This window comes from Homo sapiens, chromosome 1 (assembly GCF_000001405.40).
Source record: "Homo sapiens chromosome 1, GRCh38.p14 Primary Assembly".
NCBI lineage: Eukaryota > Metazoa > Chordata > Mammalia > Primates > Hominidae > Homo > Homo sapiens.
In genome coordinates this window covers 212,429,487-212,448,246 of record NC_000001.11, presented here as the reverse complement: position 1 = coordinate 212,448,246, position 18,760 = coordinate 212,429,487, and the positions used below count along the sequence as shown (strand labels likewise).

The 18,760-nt window shown below is 47.2% G+C and overlaps 1 protein-coding gene and 1 long non-coding RNA gene across 4 annotated transcripts, besides 3 other annotated features; one reads left to right on the top strand and one right to left on the bottom strand.

Moving 5' to 3' along the window:
• Window positions 1-1,867: 1,867 nt before the first annotated feature.
• Window positions 1,868-15,327, bottom strand: NENF (neudesin neurotrophic factor). 2 transcript variants are annotated; one of them, NM_013349.5, is made up of 4 exons: window positions 15,127-15,327; window positions 5,622-5,682; window positions 3,805-3,908; window positions 1,868-2,417 (listed from the first exon to the last, which is right to left on the bottom strand). In NM_013349.5, the coding sequence occupies exons 1-4, from the start codon at window positions 15,301-15,303 to the stop codon at window positions 2,241-2,243; spliced, it is 519 nt and encodes a 172-aa protein (NP_037481.1). In that variant the 5' UTR covers window positions 15,304-15,327; the 3' UTR covers window positions 1,868-2,240. The 2 variants fall into 2 exon arrangements, 1 of the variants encoding a protein (NP_037481.1); NR_026598.2 differs by lacking the exon at window positions 5,622-5,682.
• Window positions 14,732-14,821: an enhancer, noted in NCBI's record as "active region_2504". NCBI's record gives its function as "activates an Ori minimal core promoter by ATAC-STARR-seq in GM12878 lymphoblastoid cells {active_cell/tissue: GM12878}" and the evidence as "EXISTENCE:reporter gene assay evidence [ECO:0000049][PMID:35858748]".
• Window positions 14,982-15,541: a silencer, noted in NCBI's record as "silent region_1795". NCBI's record gives its function as "represses an Ori minimal core promoter by ATAC-STARR-seq in GM12878 lymphoblastoid cells {active_cell/tissue: GM12878}" and the evidence as "EXISTENCE:reporter gene assay evidence [ECO:0000049][PMID:35858748]".
• LOC105372906 (uncharacterized) lies at window positions 15,430-18,286 on the top strand. Of its 2 annotated transcripts, none has more exons than XR_922577.4 (3): window positions 15,430-15,622; window positions 16,403-16,506; window positions 17,916-18,286. It is a non-coding gene; the product is annotated as an uncharacterized LOC105372906 (long non-coding RNA). The 2 variants fall into 2 exon arrangements; XR_922576.4 differs by having other exon boundaries at window positions 15,442-15,622; window positions 17,911-18,286.
• Window positions 16,965-17,252: a transcriptional cis regulatory region, noted in NCBI's record as "candidate enhancer chr1.11595 targeted for multiplex CRISPR interference". NCBI's record gives its function as "positively regulates NENF gene expression in K562 cells {active_cell/tissue: K562}" and the evidence as "EXISTENCE:mutant phenotype evidence [ECO:0000015][PMID:30612741]".
• Window positions 18,287-18,760: the final 474 nt, after the last annotated feature.

Sequence of the window (18,760 nt, the reverse complement as noted above, 5' to 3'; positions counted from 1 at the left end):
AAGGAAAAAAAAAATCAGTGAATCACGTTCTACCGTTTACATTATGTATAATTTCCAATGAGATAAGATAATGAAAAGTGAAAAAAAAAAAAAAAGAAAGAAAGTTTGGTCACTGTAGGAGAGTGTGCTGGGCCCATAAGATGCCCCTGTTTGAAGGAGACAGGCTCACAAACAGGCAATCACAGCAAAGCAGGTGAGTCTAGGCTAAGGGGATCACACAGGAGGGGGAAGGCTTCCTGGTACAGGTGCACCTAGGCTGAGTCTTAAAAGGAGGATATGAGCCTTCAGAGAAAAAGAAAAACATTATAAATAGACATAGGAGCAGGGGGCACATGACGCAGGGACTTCAGGCCTCCCAGGGTCTGTGCGAGACTTTTAGGCCCTGCAGACCTCAATGATGCAGAATCCTCAGGCCGGCCTGTGCCTCCTCCCCTGGGGTTGCACCCACCCTTTCTAGAGCCCACACAGGCTGCCGATTTCTTGCACACTGTCCTGGCTGGCTGGCAGCTTTTGATGTGCACTCAGGGAACTGGGCAGGGTAATCCTGGGAGGGGTGGTGAGCCTGAGACCATGAGGGAAAACTGCCTTCATGGGGGCAAAGGTGAGGAGTGGGGCAAACAGTGGTGTTGGGAAGTTCCCAGAGCCTGAATTTGGAGACCTTGATTCACTGCAGAAATCTGTGTCTAAGGAGTGGAATTCTACCCACCCTCCCACCCCACATTACATAGTGATGTAGGGAGTGGTGGGCACATAAGTAAAAGAAGTCATCTCTCGACTATTCCCAAGGACTTGGACACCATTTGTATTTATTTGTACATCCTGTTTTGGGGCAAAATGTCCGCTACAGACAACCTTGGCTGCATAAGCAACTTCTAGAATTCTAGGCCAAAAAGTCCTATCTGATAAGATCCAAGCGCGTTACTCTTGGATGGCCATCAAGCTCCCATCTTCTTCAGTGCAACCCAGAGGTTTACCATTAGACTCCCCAGCCCTGGAACACATTAAAGGTCAAACCTTGCCCTCAAAAAGGATCTGAGTTGTCCTTGCGATGACTGATAAGGCAATAAGGTGGTGTCTCAAAGTGTGTTTGGGCCTGTTTGTATCACAACTTCCTGAGCAGCTCACTACAAGCACTGTTCCAGGCCATGTTCTAGAAATACTGAATCCTAAGCGCTAGGAGGTGGGGCCCAGGAGTCAACATTTTGAACAATCACCTTAACAGATTATTCTGCTTAATGTGAAAATTCTCTCTTGGGGGCAGTTGCTATTTATTTTAATAAAATACAAGTTTTATGTCAAGGAAATTCATCTCCACTGTAAAATGTCCAGGATCCATCTAACACAGTATTTATCAGCCTCAGTATGGGTGAAATTTCGGACCGGATGATGCTTTGTCAGGTGCATTACAGAATGTTGACCAGCATCCCTGGCCTCGAGATGCCAGTAGCATCCTGCAGTCATGACAGACAAAAATTAAAAAAAAAAAAATGTTGCCAGACATCACCCAATGTCCCCAGAGGGAAAAATCTGCCCACTCTAACAAAAGGGGCTTCCTCTTAAAATCTGACCTCAGTCCAGCATAAGGAATATGCCTCCCGTTCTTGGAATGACCTCCACCAGGCTCTGCCCACACTGACCCCGGCCCTCCTCACCAATCTCCAGCTGCACGTGCACTGAAGCCAGTTCCCACCCTCACTCCAGCCGGGTTTCCTGGCTCCCTTCCCATCGCCCACCCTCCCACCTCACCACTCTCTTTTCCTGCCCATTGCCTAAATGCCCCACCATCCGGCCCCGCAGGACTATGGAAGAACAACACAGCCCACCCGCTTATGTGGGCTCCAAGGAAATGGCCTCTGGGGAAGAATTCTCCTTTTGTAAAAATGGGACCTTTATTTTTGTTTTGATTATAAAGTGAACATGGTCATGGCTGAAAATCTGTCAAGCACAGAAAAGTATAAAGTAAAGGTCGCTCAAAATTCCACTGCCCAGCCAGCTGATACTGACATCTAGGAGGTGTCCCACTTTGGCTCTTATTGATCCCTGGTGTGCAGACAGGGGTCCCCAGGTAGACAGAACCCCTGACCAAGGACAACAGGAGGCATTTGCTCTTCCAGGGTAAGCATCTGTTTTATTCAGATCTGGGTGGCTCAGGGCCTCCAGGCAGCCAGTTTTGCAGGAGATTCAGCACCTAGTGTCTTCCTGCCTCACGCTCCCAAGAACCTGCTCCTGCAGGGGGAACATCAGAACTCATCCTTGATGTCAAAATGGGGCTGGTCTTCAGGCTTGAAGTCCAGGTTAGGGCTGCCATCCTCATTGAGAATTCTCCGGGCAGTGTAGCCGACGATGGGGTATTTGGCTTTGTACACTTTGGTGAAGACCTCATCCAGGGCCTCCAGTTCCTTGGCCGTGAGACCCGTCTTGGGGAGAAAAGCCCAAGAAAGACAGGAGATGGGGTTAAGTGGATAGTGTTTGGCACTGGCCTTTCTCCATCCCTGCCTTGCCTCCCACATCCCTAATGCAAGAGAAAAGATATCTCAACAAACCAAATAATGGACAAATGGCTTAAGAGACACTGCTGTGGGGGGGGCGTGGGGGTGGGAGGGTATAACATACGGGGAGCAATGCTTCATCACACTTTGTGGTTTGACTGATGGAAGGGATGAAAGACTCCAGAGAGCATGCTGGGGTGGGGCAGGGCATGCCCTATTGCATCTGCATCCCCTTCCTCCCCCCGATTAATCCTCCCTCTCTCTACACTGCTCCCATTATCCCTCTCTCTACACTCCTCCCATTATACATTTGGCACCTTCCCCTTTCTTAAGTTCTTCATTCATTTTTGTAATATTGTTACATTCATTTTGTTATGAGTTTGGCTCATCTCAATTTATCTCAATGTCAGTTTGATGTTGAGCACAGTTAGAGGAAATTCCAGCCTTACTGTTGGAATTATTTAGACCTTGAATAGGTTTAAAAAACAAATTTTTTTTTTTTTGAGATGGAGTCTCACTCTGTTGCCCAGGCTGGAGCACAGTGGCATGATCTCAACTCACTGTAACCTCCGCCCCCTGGATTCGAGCGATTCTCCTGCCTCAACCTCCCAAGTAGCTGGGATTACAGGTGTGCACCACCACACTCAGCTAATTTTTGTATTTTTAGTAGAGACGGGGTTTCTCCATGCTGGCCTGGCTAGTCTCAAACTCCTGACCTCAGGTGATCCACCTGCCTTTGCCTTCCAAAGTGCTGGGATTACAGGCATGATCCACCACTCCTGGCCTAAAAAATGTTTTAATGCTATCTTCTCCTTCACAGAAATATAAGCATAGAGGGAGACCTTTCTTCCCAACCCAGTTCATCCACAAAGCTACCAAGCATGGCCTGGGGAATGGGTCTCAGAGACTAATAGCAAGGCTGTAAGGGGCTGAGGGGATGGGGTGGCAGGTACAGACCATAAGGAGCATTAGGTTGCCAAAGCAGGTTGGGGCCAAATTGTGATGATCACTGAGTTGGATCACAAGTTCATAAGAGTTTGGACTTGACTCTAGGCAACAGACAGCCATGGAAGGTTTCTGAGTCGAGATGACATGGTAGGATAATCTATTTCAAGAAAATGCCTGGCCACCATACCAAGTGGACCGAAGGGTAAATAAGCTAATTAGGAAGGCTTGCTCTTGCCCAGATACACACACACACACACACACACACACACACACACACACACACACACACACGAAAAGAAAAAGAAAAAGAGAAAAAGGCATGGACAAGGAGGTAGAGGATTTTACAAAGGCTTATAATCTGGCTCACAGTGTCATGGGTGAGGTCTGCAGGATCCAAGGACATCTTGGCTACCCCTCTAGTGGAGTCCTTCCCCGTCAAGGCATTGTAGGGGGCTCCTCGTCCATAAAACTCTGTAGTGGGAAGGAAGGAAGAGACGTAAGCGTGGGTTTACATGCAGAGTAACCAGGAGCTTGCACGTGGGGGCGCTCCCAAGGCCCGCACCCAATCCTAAAAAAGACTCCACGCTCACGGAGAGGCCAAACAATGGCGATACAAAGTCCAGTAAGCCACCCCAGCCATCAGGTTGGATTCCACTTACTCTAAATGTGAAGTAAGTCACACATGCAGGCTGAGCAGGGATTTTCAGAAAATATAAAATGAGAATAGTACCCCTACAACCTCTTTTGTTGTTGTTTTTTTTTGACAGGGTCTCACTCTTGCCCAGGCTGGAGTGCAGTGGCACAATCTTGGCTCACTGCAATCTCCACCTCCCGGGTTCAAGCAATTCTCCCACCTCAGCCTCCAGAGTAGCTGGGACTACAGGCATGTGCCACCACCATGCCCAGCTAATTTTTGTATTTTTTTTTTTGAAGAGATGGGGTTTCACCATGTTGCCCAGGCTAGTCTTGAACTCCTGAGCTCACATGATCTGCCCACCTTGGCCTCCTAAAGCGCTGGGATTACAAGCATAAGCCACTGTGCCTAGCCCCCTTCTCGTTCTGTTTTTTCACCTAAGTGTTAATACTGAGAAAATAGTCTCTTAAAAATATTAGAGATGCAGGCTGGGTGCGGTGACTCACGCCTGTAATCCCAGCACTCTGAGAAGCCAAGATGGGCAGATCATTTGAGGTCAGGAGTTCAAGATCAGCCTGGTTAACATGGTGAAACCCCATCTCTACTAAAAATACAAAAATCTGGGCATGGTGGCGTGCACCTGTAATTCCAGTTACTCAGGAGGCTGAGGCAGGAGAATCGTTTGAACCTGGCAGCTGGAGAAGGTCGCATCACTGCACTCTAACCTGGGCGACAGAGCGAGACTGTCTCCAAAAAAAAAATTAAAGATGCAAACAAGAAAAATGTTCCCTCTTCTTAAATGTTGGTGGAAGCCAAATCTATTCCCATTCAGCAGTGTTTGTTATCAAATAATAGATAAACCAATACAAAACTATCTCCAAGATATCATTAGTAGTTACATTAAATGGCACTAAAATGTTCTGTAATGTTCTATAATGCCAACTCTTTACTAAAGAACACTTCTCTCATTGCTTCAACTAGGGTAAATCATTAAGTTTGAATTTAATTCTACAGGCAATGGAAAGTCATGAAAGGCTTTTGAGTAGAAGCATGTCATTATCAGGGGAAAAAAGCCCCTGCTGAAGTAAAACACTGACAAAGATTAACTCAATCTGCTCATTTAAAATGGAAGGAAGGCCAGGTGTGGTGGCTCACACCTGTAATACTAGCACTTTGGGAGGCCGAAGCGGGTGGATCACAAGGTCAGAAGTTCAAGACCAGCCTTGCCAAGATGGTGAAACCCCGTCTCTACTAAAAATACAAAAAAATTAGCCAGCGGTGGTGGTGGTGCCTGTAATCCCAGCTACTCGGGAGGCTGAGGCAGAGAATTGCTTGAACCCAGAAGGCAGAGGTTGCAGTGAGCCAAGATCGTGCCACCGCACTCCAGCCTGGGTGACAGAGTGAAACTCCGTCTCAAAAAATAAAATAAAATAAAATGGAATGAAAAGGACTTGCCTAATGTTCCCTCCCTTTCCTCACACCTCCAAGTGCTGCTCACTCTGGCTTCTGTGCTCCCTGGAAATGAAGATTCAAAATGCCACACCACTTACCCTTTCCGGAGGTGACATCAAACACCACTCCCTTCACTGCCAAGTAGATGGGCTGATCTTCCTAGAAAGCAGGGGAGAAGCTGTGAAGAGGAAGGGAAGAGCCAGCTCTTCCAGTGCAACTTAGTAAAATCTTCTCCCATCACAAGCTGAGCAAAGAGCAGTGGGTCAAGTCCCAAAGGCTTTCTGTTAAGCCTGGTCCTTGGCGAGCTTGCCACCTGCCTGGGCAGCGTCATGCCCGCACACAGAAATTTGGAAAAGTCATAAAGTCTCATGACAAGAATGTGGCAATTCTCTCCTTTATAGAGAAAATCAGGGGCCAGGCACAGTGACTCACGCCTGTAATCCCAGCACTGTGGGAGGCCAAGGCGGGCGGATCACCTGAGGTCAGGGGTTCAAGACCAGCCTGGCCAATATGGTGAAACCCTATCTCTACTAAAAATACAAAAATTAGCCGGGCATGGTGGCACATGCCTGTAATCCCAGCTGCTCGCGAGTCTGAGGCTGGAGAATTGCTTGAACCCTGGAGGCAGAGGTCGTAGTGAACCAAGATCATGCCACTGCACCCCAGCCTGGGTGACACAGTGAGACTCCGTCTCAAAAAAAAGAAAATCAGGAACAGAAGCAACTTCATGGAGATGAAAATTCAAAAGAATAGTAAATGATGAATTACTTATCAGTCCAAATTTCCTTTCCTCTTCATCAATAGACATACACGGATGTGACTGATATGAGCAATCTATTTTATATTTTGCTTCTTACAGGTAACATTCCCTCATATAAACATTTCCACCAAAATGACTGTCATTTAAACAGCTCCATGGGGCCCCATCTTTTTTTTTGAGACAGAGTTTCACTCATGCTGCCCAGGCTGGAGTGCAATGGCGCAATGTCAGCTCACTGCAACCTCCACCTTCCGGGTTCATGTGATTCTCCTGACTCAGCCTCCTGAGTAGCTGGGATTACAGGCACCCGCCACCACGCCCCGCTAATTTTTTGTCTTTTTAGTAGAGATGGGGTTTCATCATGTTGGCCAGGCTGGTCTCGAACTCCTGACCTCAGGTGATCCACCCACCTAGGCCTCCCAAAGTGCTGGGATTACCGACGTGAGCCACCATGCCCGGCGTAGGGCCCCATCTTATATTAGTGATATTGTCTACCTATTTGTTTAGCTAGCTTTCTATTTTGGGTATTTGGGTGGTTTCCAATCCTTAGAACTATAAATGGCAGCATTATGAATACATGTTTCTATCAATTACTTTCTAATTTGGTGACTTATTTCATTGAGGCCTTTATTTAAAAATTTCTCTCCACCCAGTGAATGCATAGGAAAGTGCCCTATTTCAATATATGGAATTCCTGGGCCTAAGTATATGAAAACTTAATCACTGTTTATATTTTATTAGTTTGTCCTGTAACAACATTTATAGTGCTAGAGATATGTAAGCAATGCTGTTTCCCCACCGTTCTACTAACAATGGGCTTTACACTTTTTTTTGGCTCTATTAGCAGGCATAAAATGTTACCTCAGAATTTCCCCACCAAGAAAGAATTACACAAAAAAGGATGGCATGACTTTTCTAGCTTCCATCAAGTTGGGCTCAGGCTGGGACGATGGGTACAGTCCCAAGACACCCAAGACAAGATCTCTCCTTTGTCTCAGTGCCATCAGAGGTGCAGGGGCATCAGCCAGGTGGCTCACAGCCCAGGCGAGGGTGGGAGTCGCTGCTGGGTCCATAGGAATCTCAGGCTCTGCAAGCACCTGCTGCTTGGCCTTCTCTTTGGGGTGGGCCTTAGTGTTCTTGCGCTTGTGCAGCTTATGGTGAAGGGTTTTCATGATCCCATTTAACAGACAGAGGAGCTACTGAGGCTCAGAGAAGCTAAGCAACTTGCCCAAGGAAACACACCTCACTGCCTCATAACCACTCAGGCCTGCTTCTCTGCCTGTCATATGAGGGTAACGCCCACTTGCCTCGGGAATGCTGAGGAAAAGAGTGTACGTAATACCTAGCAGGCACGACACAGGAGCTCAGCAGAGGGCTGCCTTTTATTACTCCAAACCGGCTCCTAAAGACAGGCCCTAGAGGACTGCCATTGACTCTGTGGACACTTGCTCCACCTCATCTAACACGGGTCATTTGAAACGGCCTGGATTTCCAAGCCAGCAGACGGCATTTTTCTTTGTGATGATTTACCGCCTTTCCTTTACCAGGTTTCCTTATTCCTCAGCTTTGATTATTTATCAAGTGGGATTATGTATTTATATCAATTTTAAAAATATATTACAGCTATCATTTAACCCCAGTATTTTGTCATATCTTCCATTCTGTGGCTTTCTCCTTGATACTTCTTTTCTTTTTCCTTTTTTTTTTTTTTTGAGACAGAGTCTTACTCTGTCACCCAGACTGGAGTGCAGTGGTACAATATCGGCTCACTGCAACCTCCACCTCCCCAGTTCAAGCGATTCTCCTGCCTCAGTCTCCTGAGTAGCTGGGATTACAGGCACACGCCACCATACCCAGATAATTTTTGTATTTTTAGCAGAGACAGGGTTTCACCATGTTGGCCAGGCTGGTCTCAAACTCCTAACCTCAAGTGATCTGCCCGCCTCGGCCTCCCAAAGGGCTGGGATTACAGGCATAAGCCACCATGCCCAGCCGACACTTATTTTCTATGGGCAAACAGCCATATAAATATAACATTCACATACATAAGATAAACAAAAACATGCATCTTATCACTAACACTCTTTTCTTTTTTTGTGGGGGGGGGACGGAGTCTAGCTCGGTTGCCCAGGCTGGAGTGCAGTGGCACAATCTCGGCTCACTGCAACCTCTGCCTCCCAGGTTCAAGCTATTCTCCTGCCTCAGCCTCCAGGGTAGCTGGGATTACAGACGTGTGTCACCACGCCTGGCCAATTTTTTTTTTTTTTTTTTTTTTGTATATTTAGTAGAGACAGGTTTCACCATGTTGGCCAGGCTGGTCTAGAACTCCTGACCTCAGGTAATCTGCCTGCCTTGACCTCTCAATGTGTTGGGATTATAGGCATGAGGCAACACGCCCGGCAAACAATCTTTTTTTTTTATGAGAAGGAGTTTCACTCTTGTTGCCCAGGCTGGAGTGCAATGTCATGATCTTGGCTCATCGCAACCTCCGCCTCCCGGGTTCAAGCATTTCTCCTGCCTCAGTGTCCCGAGTAGCTGGGATTACAGACGTGTGCCACCATGCTTGGCTAATTTTTTTTTTTTTTGTATTTTTAGTAGAGATGGGGTTTCTCCATGTTGGTCAGGCTGGTCTTGAACTCCCAACGTGAGGTGATCTACCCGCCTCGGCCTCCCAAAGTGCTGGGATTACAGGCGTGAGCCACTGCACCCAGCAATCTCCTTTTTTTAACAGTAAAATTTTTATCTCCTCCTTAAACTACTTACTTGAAGGTGTAAGTGCGAAGAGGAAGTCATATTATAGGGGAAGAAAAGAATGTTTAGCATTTTTGAGGCCTCAGAGTGACATAGATACCTCATATGCCATGCAGAGGAATGGTCTTATCAGTAAACAGAGCGTGCTGTGGTGGTGAGTTCTGACCCAGTGTAGATGAACATCCATGGATAGCACAACCCCCAGGCACAGACTCTCAGGCCTGGGAAATGACAACTGAGAAGGTGGAGGGTGGGTGGAAGGCTTGGGAGTATAAATGCAGACACAGGAATAGAAGTGACACAGAAACAGCCAGGCATGGTGGCTCCCAGCACTTTGGGAGGCTGAGGTGGGCAGATGACTTGAGGTCAGGAGTTTGAGACCAGCCTGGCCAACATGGTGAAAACCTGTCTCTACTAAAAATACAAAAATTAGCCGGGTGTGGTGGCAGGTGCCTGTAATCCCAGCTACTGGGGAGGCTGAGGCAGAATTGCTTGAACCCGGGAGGCGGAGGTTGCAGTGAGCCAAGATCACACTACTGCACTCCAGCTTTGATGACAGAGCAAGACTCTGTCTCCAAAAAAAAAAAAAAAAAAATACAGACACACACACGCAAAACAAAACAAAATCAGCCACTGCACTCCAGCCTGGGTGACAGAGTGAGACTTTGTCTCAAAAACTAAACTAAAATAAAATAATCTTGTAAGGCAGTTATTACTATACCCATTTTGTAGGTGAAGAAACTGAGGCTTAGAGTTTACATAACCTGTCAATGGTTTCTCTGCTGGTAAATAAAAAGTCAGGATTCAGACTCATACCTGTCTGATTCTAAGCCTTTGCCCTTCCTAGGGCAATTCTTCCTTATTGAAAACTTGAATACCAATCTCTGGCCTGCAATCTGTAGACAGTGAAACCCTGCTATCATAACAGGTGTGTGACAAGGCAAAAGCTACCGGTGAACATGTGCAAGCAATATCTCTACCTATCAGGGCAATTTTGACAGGAGTTGAAGAAAACAAGCGCCAAAGAAAGGCACTCTGGAACACACTACCTTTTTTTCCTCTATTTTCAATTTTGTTCAACACACTCACTTTATAACCTGTTATCTACATAAGAGGTCCTCAAAATCACCTCTTCTGTACAACCCTTACTAGAATTACTGGGAGAATGGAGTTCTAAAGAAGCACCAAGGAGATGCTGTCCAGATTTTTTTTCTTTTTTAAAATAGAGACAAGGTCTCACTACGTTGCCCAGGCTGGTCTCAAACTCCTGGGCTTAAGCGATCTTTCCAGCTCGGCCTCCCAAACTGCTGGGACTACAGGTGTGAGCCACCACACCCCGCCCAGATTTTCAGCAAGCATTCGAAGAGGACTAATGTATACCAAAGATTTTTCTATTCCCATATGTGAATGATTTAGGGAGCCTTGGATCACTCTGAGGCCCTACAATGCCTAAAAGGAAAGAACTGGCTCTTGGTGCAGTAGATCCAGAACACAGTGTGGCTCTGTGAAAGACACTGACAGCCAGGACACCCATGCTTCACGGATTTCCCATCTGAAGCTGCCACTGGAGAAACTACGCAAATCCCTGTGTGGGTGTCTGAGCTCTCTCACCTTGAACCACACAGTGGGATGTGTGACTGATAGAGGCGGGTCTGCCTTGGCTCTCATCCAAGAAAGAAGGTTTTTTTATATCTAGTAGAAGCAAGTCACTCATTGCTAGATGTTTCAGAAAGCCTTGTTACACAGGTCCACAATCCCACAGCAGAAACTCTTGGGGGTCAGACATGTTTTCAATATGAAAATATGTCAGATTTTAGAAAGGTGTTATGGGGAACATACCATATATTATGCAATACCTCTAGGGAGGTCCAAGGCAACACCCATAATCAAGTATGTTAGTATTTCTCCAGTGAAACATGAACATTCACAGTAAATGGGATAAAGACTAACGTAGACTCATAGCAGCTCCAACAAGGTTCTGTCATCAAGTGATTTCAGATCAAGCTGGGTTTTTCTGTCAAATGACTTGTGAAAAACAAAAATGTCTAGGTTTCAGAGTTTATTAGATTTCTGTAGTGCATGAAAGGACCGTGGACCTGTTATAATGCCTCTTGCTTGTATCTTTAATAAGGTAATAAAAAATAATAGTAGCTAACATTTATTAAGACTTACGGTGCTAAGCCCTATTCCAGGCCTACGCTAAGCCTGTGCACACCACCATCTCATTTAATGCAGGCATTCACAAAACACCTGCTTAGAGTAGGAACTCTTTTTTTTTTTTTTTTTTTGGTAGAGGTGAGGTCTTGTTATGTTGCCTAGGCTGGTCTCAAACTCCTGGCTTCAAGCAATCCTCCTGCCTCGACCTCCCAAAGTGAGTGCTGGGATTACAGGTGTGAGCCACCACACTCAGCCAAGTAGGAACTCTTATTATAACCATTGTGATGATTTATTTTATGTGTCAATTTGCACAGGTTACTGTACCCAGTTATTCAATCAAATACTCACCTAGATATTGCTGTGCATCTACAATCAATTGGCTTTATATAAGGAAATAATCCCAGATAATCTGGGTGGGCCTAATCTCATAATCGAAAGACCTTAACAAGGCTGGGTACAGTGGCTTACGCCTGTAATCCCAGTACTTTGGAAGGCTGAGACGGGTGGATCACGAGGTCAGGAGTCCAAGACTAGCCTGGCCAAGATGGTGAAACCCTGTCTCTACTAAAAATACCAAAAGTAGCTGGGCATGGTGGTGGGCGCCTGTAATCCCAGCTACTCGGGAGGCTGAGGTAGAGAACTGCTTGAACATGGGAGGCGGAGGTTGCAGTGAGCTGAGATCACACCACTGCACTCCAGCCTGGGAAACAGAGCAAGACTCCGTCTCAAAAAAAAAAAAAAAAAAAAAGACCCATGGGCTACAGCATCTGCTCCTGCCTGAGGGCTTCCAGCCTGCCCCTTCTGATAGCCTGCTCTATGTATTTCCAATTTGCCCAGCCAGCCCCCGCTATCGTGTAAACCAATCCTTATGATAAACCATTTATCTATCTATATATAGTTGACCCTTGAACAACACAGGTTTGAACTGCATGGGTCCACTTATATGTGGGTTTTCTTCCACCTCTGCCACCCCTGAGATAGCAACACCAACCACTCCTCTTCCTTCTCAGGATGCAGACCTTTATAATGATCCACTTTCACTTAATAGTAAATATATTTTCTCTTCTTTATGATTTTCTTAGTAACACTTTCTTTTGTCTAGCTTACATTACTGTAAGAATTCAGTATATAATACATTTACAAAATACGTGGTAATCGACTATGTTCTTGGGTCTTGTGGTCAACAGTAGGCTATTAGTAATTAAGTTTTGAGCCAGGCATGGAGGCTCACACGTGTATTCCCAGCACTTTGGGAAACTGAGGTGGAAGAGTTGCTTGAGCCCAGGAGTTTGACACCAGCCTGGGCAACACAGGAAGACCCCATCTCTACAGAAAATTTAAAAAATAGCCAGGTGTGGTGGTGCACACCTGTAATGCCAGTAACTGGGAAGGCTGAGGTAGGAGGACTGCTTGAGCCCAGGAGGAGGCTGTAGTGAGCTGTGTTCCTGCCACTGCACTCCAGGCTTAGCAATAGAGTGAGACCCTGTCTCAAAAAAAAAAAAAAAAAAGGAAAAAAACTGTAGTTTTGGGGGTAGTCAAAAGTTATACATGGCTGGGTGCACACCTGTAATACTAGCGGCTTGGGAGGCTGCGGCAGGAGGATCGCTTGGGCCCAGGATTGCCAGGCTCTAGTGCACCATGACTGCCTGTGAAAAGCCACTCACTCCATTCTGGGCGACACAGCAAGACCCTGCCTCTAAAAGAAAAAAAAGTTATATGCAGACTTTTGACTGCATGGGGGTCAGTACCCCGAACTCCTGTGTTGCTCAAGGATCAACTGTATAGATATAGATATCCAAATGGTTCTGTTCCCTGGTGAAACCTGGACTAATCCAAGTATCTTACGAACAAAGTGGAGACTCAGAGAGGTTTAGTAATTTGCCCCAAATCACACAGCAGAACAGGGACTCAAAACCAGGTATGATCCAATGTATTATACAAATTGTCACACTTCTGAGTGAAAGGGTGTTATTAATAATTATCCCTGGATAACAGGCATAGACCAGAACAATCTAGGTCAAACAACAGCGCAGCACAGCTTGAACCCACTGCACTCAACTGCCTCTCTCGTCCCTCGCTCCCCTCCTCTCTCTGGCTCCTTCCTTCCACCTACAGAGATCCTCAGGCTCCACTCCCAAAACAATTGTTTCCTACCCCTGTTTCCATCTCAAGGTCCTCTCTCTCTCAGTTAAATTTCAATCTATAACATCAACATCAAAAAACCAAGGGTCTTTTCTCAGTCCTCATCTTGCAGTTCTGGCACTCTTGCTGTAACCTCAGTGGTGAACTCTCTCTTTCCTTAGATTCTTGTGCCAGTGGTCCCAAAGATCATCGGGTCAGTTGGAGAGTCCCTAGAAGGAAGATTCCAAGAACCCAGCATATAGTTCTACTCACAGCTGGGAAGGAAAAACACAGAGGGAGAATCTAGGGGAATCTATGTGCAGGTTTCCTATGCTCTCTCCCTCCCATGAGGAAGAGCACACTCTTCCCCCAGCAACAAAACTTGACAGTATGTGCCATTCTTCTGGCAGAACATTCCTCTGCTAGAGATGCCCATTAGACTCAGCACCCAAGGTTTTCACTGGGGGCTGGTCACATGGGGCACCCTCTGCCTAGCATATACAGTGTTCAATACTAACCACACCATCTGTATATACGGCCTAGGCAAGTGAGTCCACCGTTATTGGGTAGGGAAGGGTGAGAAATCCAGACACTAGACAAGTCCCACCCTTGCAAGTAGGCTTTTCTAAGGAGAGCAGGCCTGCCATGTTAATTCTTTTCTGCACGGATGCCTGGACTCTGAACCATCTGGTTCCCTCTGCTACCGGCAAAAAGGCATCCCTTAACATCCTCACATCCCAGCCATGTCTCCCTCCCTCGGTGTCCTCACTGACTCATGGTTCTAAATGGCCCCTTCACAAATGATGCCCAAACTGGCATCACTGACTAAGGGCCAGGTTTCTGATACCCCCATGCAATCCTAGTCCATATAAGGCCAATTAACTCAGGAATTAGCGAGACCAGGCCAGAGGGTTTTGAAAAACATCAGGCCTCTTCCTGCTCTACCACTAACAGGTGGCAGGCCTCAGTTTCCTTATGTGTAAAAGCAGGAGATGGGTTCCTGCCAGCTCTGAAATACTATGGTACTATGACCTCCCCCCAATGCCGTTCCCCCGCTCCACATCTAATATCAGCCCCCTGTTGGTCCTTGTCGTGCGGCTCCAGTCCCAACCAACCCAGGTGGGCAGGTGGTTGTGAGTTTTCTGGACGCCTCTAGACTATTGACGTGTGTGGGTGTGTGTGGGCGGGGGGGTCTCTATTGACGTGTGGCGGGGGGGTTGTGGGGGTCTCTAACCTCCAGTCCACCCTCTGCGCTCACTTCCAGCTTTGGCTGAGCCCCAGGGGTACATGACCTAAAAGTGGGTTTGAGGAGTCCGATGCAGAGGCCTGGGATACAGGGGCAGGAAAAGGAAGTGCAGGCAAAGACTGGCTTATCCCAGGACCTGTCTCAATTCCCACCTAACCCAGGGAGCAGGCTCTGCTTCCCTCCCTCCGTCCCCCGCCACTCCCCACTATGCGTGGGCACAGTAAACGCCTCGGCTGATGCTAACATGAAAACCAAAAAGTTCTGAGGTCTGTACGCAGATCATCAACGAAAAGGCGGCTAGAGGGGAAATCTCCCGGGGACCGAGGGAGAAGTTCAGGGTGGGGTGTGCGGGCAAAGCGGAGCGCTCCGACTGTTGAGGACTCGTCCTCACCCCTCGGCCATCCTTCGGGGCCTAGAGAGAGGAGGCCCCCCGCCGGCCCAGGGCGCCCGCCGCGGGCCGCGCGTCCCCCAGAGCTTCCTGGGCCGCCGGCGCCTCCTGGGTCCCCGCTCGGCTCGCCGCAGATCGGACGCCACCCCGGGTCCCTCGGCCCGCGACACCCCCGCCTACCTCCTCCCCGCCATAGCGGGCCAGCTCCTCCTCGGTGAAAAGCCGCACTGGGGGCCCCCGCTCGGCAGGGCGCGGTGTCTGCCCGGCCCGGGCTGTGGGCAGCCCCGGGGCCAGCGCCAGGACCAGGGCCAGCGCTGCCAGCGGCCGCAGCCGCCGCCGCGGCGCGGGGCCCACCATGGTGAGCGCGCAGCGCAAGGCAAGGCCGGGCCAGGGCGGCGGGGCCCTAGCACGCCCGCCCAGCGTCCCGGAGTCCCGCCCCGCGCCCAGAGCCTCCCCGAGGGCGGGGACCCGAGAACTCCCGCCCTTCGCGCGCCTCCTGCGCCCCGGGGTGGGGCTGGCCGGGCTACTCGGGCCACGCAGCTGGAACCTGGAAATTAGGATTGGAATCCTGAACTCCTAAATCCAAACTACAGACTGGAAGTTACCAAAAAATGTCACAGTGGTTCCTTGATCAGGTAGAAAGATGACAGAGCCCAACATACCAGAACCTAGAAAGGTATATTTCTAAAATAAGACCCCAACTGTCTTAATTCGCTTTTATTTTTGGCTGATTTTTTTTCTTCCTGGTTGTGTTTAAGTTTCTGGTTCCCAAGGAGATTTTTGCAAAGGGTAGGGTGCTGTTACCGATACGCCCTGAAATAATAATAGCTAACATTTGTGCCAAACTTTGCTCATTACTTTATGCAACAAATATTTTTGAGTACCTCCATGTACCAGGTCACTGGGGACTCACCACTGAACAAGACAGATCCACGCCCACGTGAAGCTTACATTGTGTGGGCAGATAGACAATAAGATGCTAAGTAGTATGTTAGATGGTGGTAAATACTAGGGAGAAAAAGTAGGGCAAAGAGATAGGGAGCACTGGGATGGACATTTTATTTTATTTTATTGTTATGTATTTATTTATTTTTGAGACGGAGTCTGTCGCCTACGCTGGAGTGCAGTGGCGCCATCTCGGCCCACTGCAACCTCCACCTTCCGGGTTCAAGTGATTCTCCTGCCTCAGCCACCAGAGTAGTTGGGATTACAGGCACCCACCACCACGCCTGGCTAATTTTTTTTTTTTTTAATTTTTAGTCGAGATGAGGTTTCACTATATGCTGGCCAGGCTGGTCTCGAACTCCTGGCCTCAAGTGAACCATCCACCTCATCCACCCAAAGTGCTGGGATTACAGGTGTGAGGAACGGTGCCCGGTTATGGGGATGGTCATTTTAAATAGGCAGGTTAGGGAAGGCCTCACTGAGAACAGGGTATTTGCATAAAAATCTACAGGAGGCGAAGGAGGCGGTCTAGAGGGAAGAGCACTTTGGTCAAAGGATCAGGTGCATAAATGCGGAGGAATGAGGATGCCCGGCTTGCTGGAGGATCAAGGGAAGGTAAGAGGGGTAGGTGAAGTCAGGAAGGAAGCGGGTAAGGGAGTGGGGGTGGATCTTGGGGGCTTCACAGGTTATTTTCAAGACTGGCTTTTACTTTCAAGACTGGAATAGAGGAATTAACAGAAAAAGGGTCTCATTCCAGACCCAAGAGCAGGTTCTTAGACGTCCACGGCAAAGAATCAGGGCAAGTCGCAGAGCATAGTAGTTAAAATAGTTCATTAGAAACTACTCCATTTCTAATAATAGTACTACTGTGTTTCTGAGTAGTATCCTTGCTTTGAAGTAGTACTAAGCAAGTATTGTTTATATAGGAGCACCTCTGCCTTCAATGTAATGCTTGCTTTTATAGGGCTAAAACTAGCGTACTTCATTACAAAAGCCTATGATCAGCTTGTTACAGACTATTAGTATTGTTATTCTCTTGTGTAACTATTGACTTCAGGGAGAATTTATGGGTGTACTGTTATCTTTAAAGTGAAACTCATTTTTAAACTAAGAATGCCTTTTTCCATTATCTCATTTCCTCAACCATAAACATCTTGTGAAGAGTGCCTATCTTCCTGGGAAAGTCGCCCAGCAGGTTTGGCTTTATCTGACCTTTATTCAAGATGGAATCACTCTGGTTAGGACACTTCTGACATAATTCCCTCCTCCTTTTTACAAGGAGACCTTTAATCCTAAGGGGTGCAGGGGGACAGAGATCCATCTTCAGTAACTTCAAGCTGAACAGAAGCGATGATATTCCTGCCTAACCATTAGGATCCCTTTGCCCAAAGTAGAGAGCTAGCCAGTCAGAAAGCATCTGTATAGTGAGGACCAATCATACATAATTCTAAGTCCCAGAAAAAGGTGAAATCTAGAAAATTAACGTGTTAAATTTAAAGAAGCATTGAATAAGCTTAACTCTTATTCCTACATAAAAAGTACAATGCAGTATATTCCACAGCACAAAACAGAATGAATAGAATTATCCCAAGCATGCTAAACAAAAAAAGTTTCCCAAGGACTAGGCAGTTGTTAGAACCAAGCTGATATGGGGTCAACTGACAGCGTGTCAATGGCAGAGATGTGGGTGTCTAAGTCTTTTGTGGCCTGAGTAACATTATGTGAATAGTCTGGAATGTATGCATAACATTCTGTTTTGATTATAGCATAAGTTCCCCCTTTGAGCTGCTGTTAACATGTCCAGAGCCATAGTTTCATAAGGCTATCTGTCTAATTTGAGATGTTTCTTCAGTCAAGAGGGTAAGGGCATGGCGTGTATTATTGAAAACTGCAGCTGTGTTTAGCTATGGCTTTGGCTTGAAGCTCAATGTCAATTGTGGCTGCCTGTGGGGAGAAGACAGTGTCAGGCCTCTGAGCTGAAGCTCAGCCATTGTAACCCTTGTGACCTGCACCTATAAGTCCAGATGGCCTGCAGGAGCCAAGAAGTCTGGAGCAGCCAAAAAAACACAAAAGAAGTGCAACAAAAGAAGCTCCTGCCTTGACTGATTGACCAGCCTTACGACGTTCCACCATTATGAATTGTTCCTGTCCTGCCCCAACTGATCAATCGACCTTGTGACATTCTTCTTCTGGACAATGAATCTTATGATCTCCCCACCATGGACCCTGTGACCCCCTCCTCTGCTGACAATAGATAACCACCTCTAACTGTAACATTCCACTGCCTACCTCAGTCCTATAAAGCTGCCCCTCTCCTATCTACCTTCGCTGACTCTCTTTTCGTACTCAGCCCACTTGCACCCAAGTGAATAAACAGCCCTGTTGCTCACACAAAGCCTGTTTAGGTGGTCTTCTATACGGACACATGTGACAGATAGCCAATGGGTAAAACAACCAAGAAGACTGCTTTTGTCACTTATGACGAGCTTTTACAGTTTCCCAGTTAGATGGGAGAGATTATAATTTAGTGAGGATACATCCTGGGAGATGAAGATGACCCTATGTACATCTTCCAGTCCAATTATAAGGCACATATGGCCAGCCATGTGACCCACATGCCCATAATCAACCCCAAGGAGAAGTACAAGCACCTAGCCATAAAGACTCATTTTGCCATCCCATCCACGTTTGGCTAGTTACAAGAAGGGTGCAATTATAGTGTTGGGGTAGTAACCATTCCATGTTACAGGTTTCAGTGTAGTAATCACTGCTATTGTCTTTCAAAGCATAGGGGCACTCTGCCTAATACCTGAACTTAGACAGCTGTCATCCATTCATCGTGTACAGTATAACCTTACGTCAGAGTGGA

What these genes read in the sequence shown, in the direction of transcription:
- NENF (NM_013349.5), bottom strand. Translation starts at nt 15,303, where the DNA reads ATGGTGGGCCCCGCGCCGCGGCGGCGGCTGCGGCCGCTGGCAGCGCTG. An exon ending in CCCGCTATGGCGGGGAGGAG is followed by an intron (nt 5,683 to 15,126) that starts GTAGGCGGGGGT and finishes CCTGCTTTCTAG; the next exon opens with GAAGATCAGCCCATCTACTT. An exon ending in TGATGTCACCTCCGGAAAGG is followed by an intron (nt 3,909 to 5,621) that starts GTAAGTGGTGTG and finishes TTCCCACTACAG; the next exon opens with AGTTTTATGGACGAGGAGCC.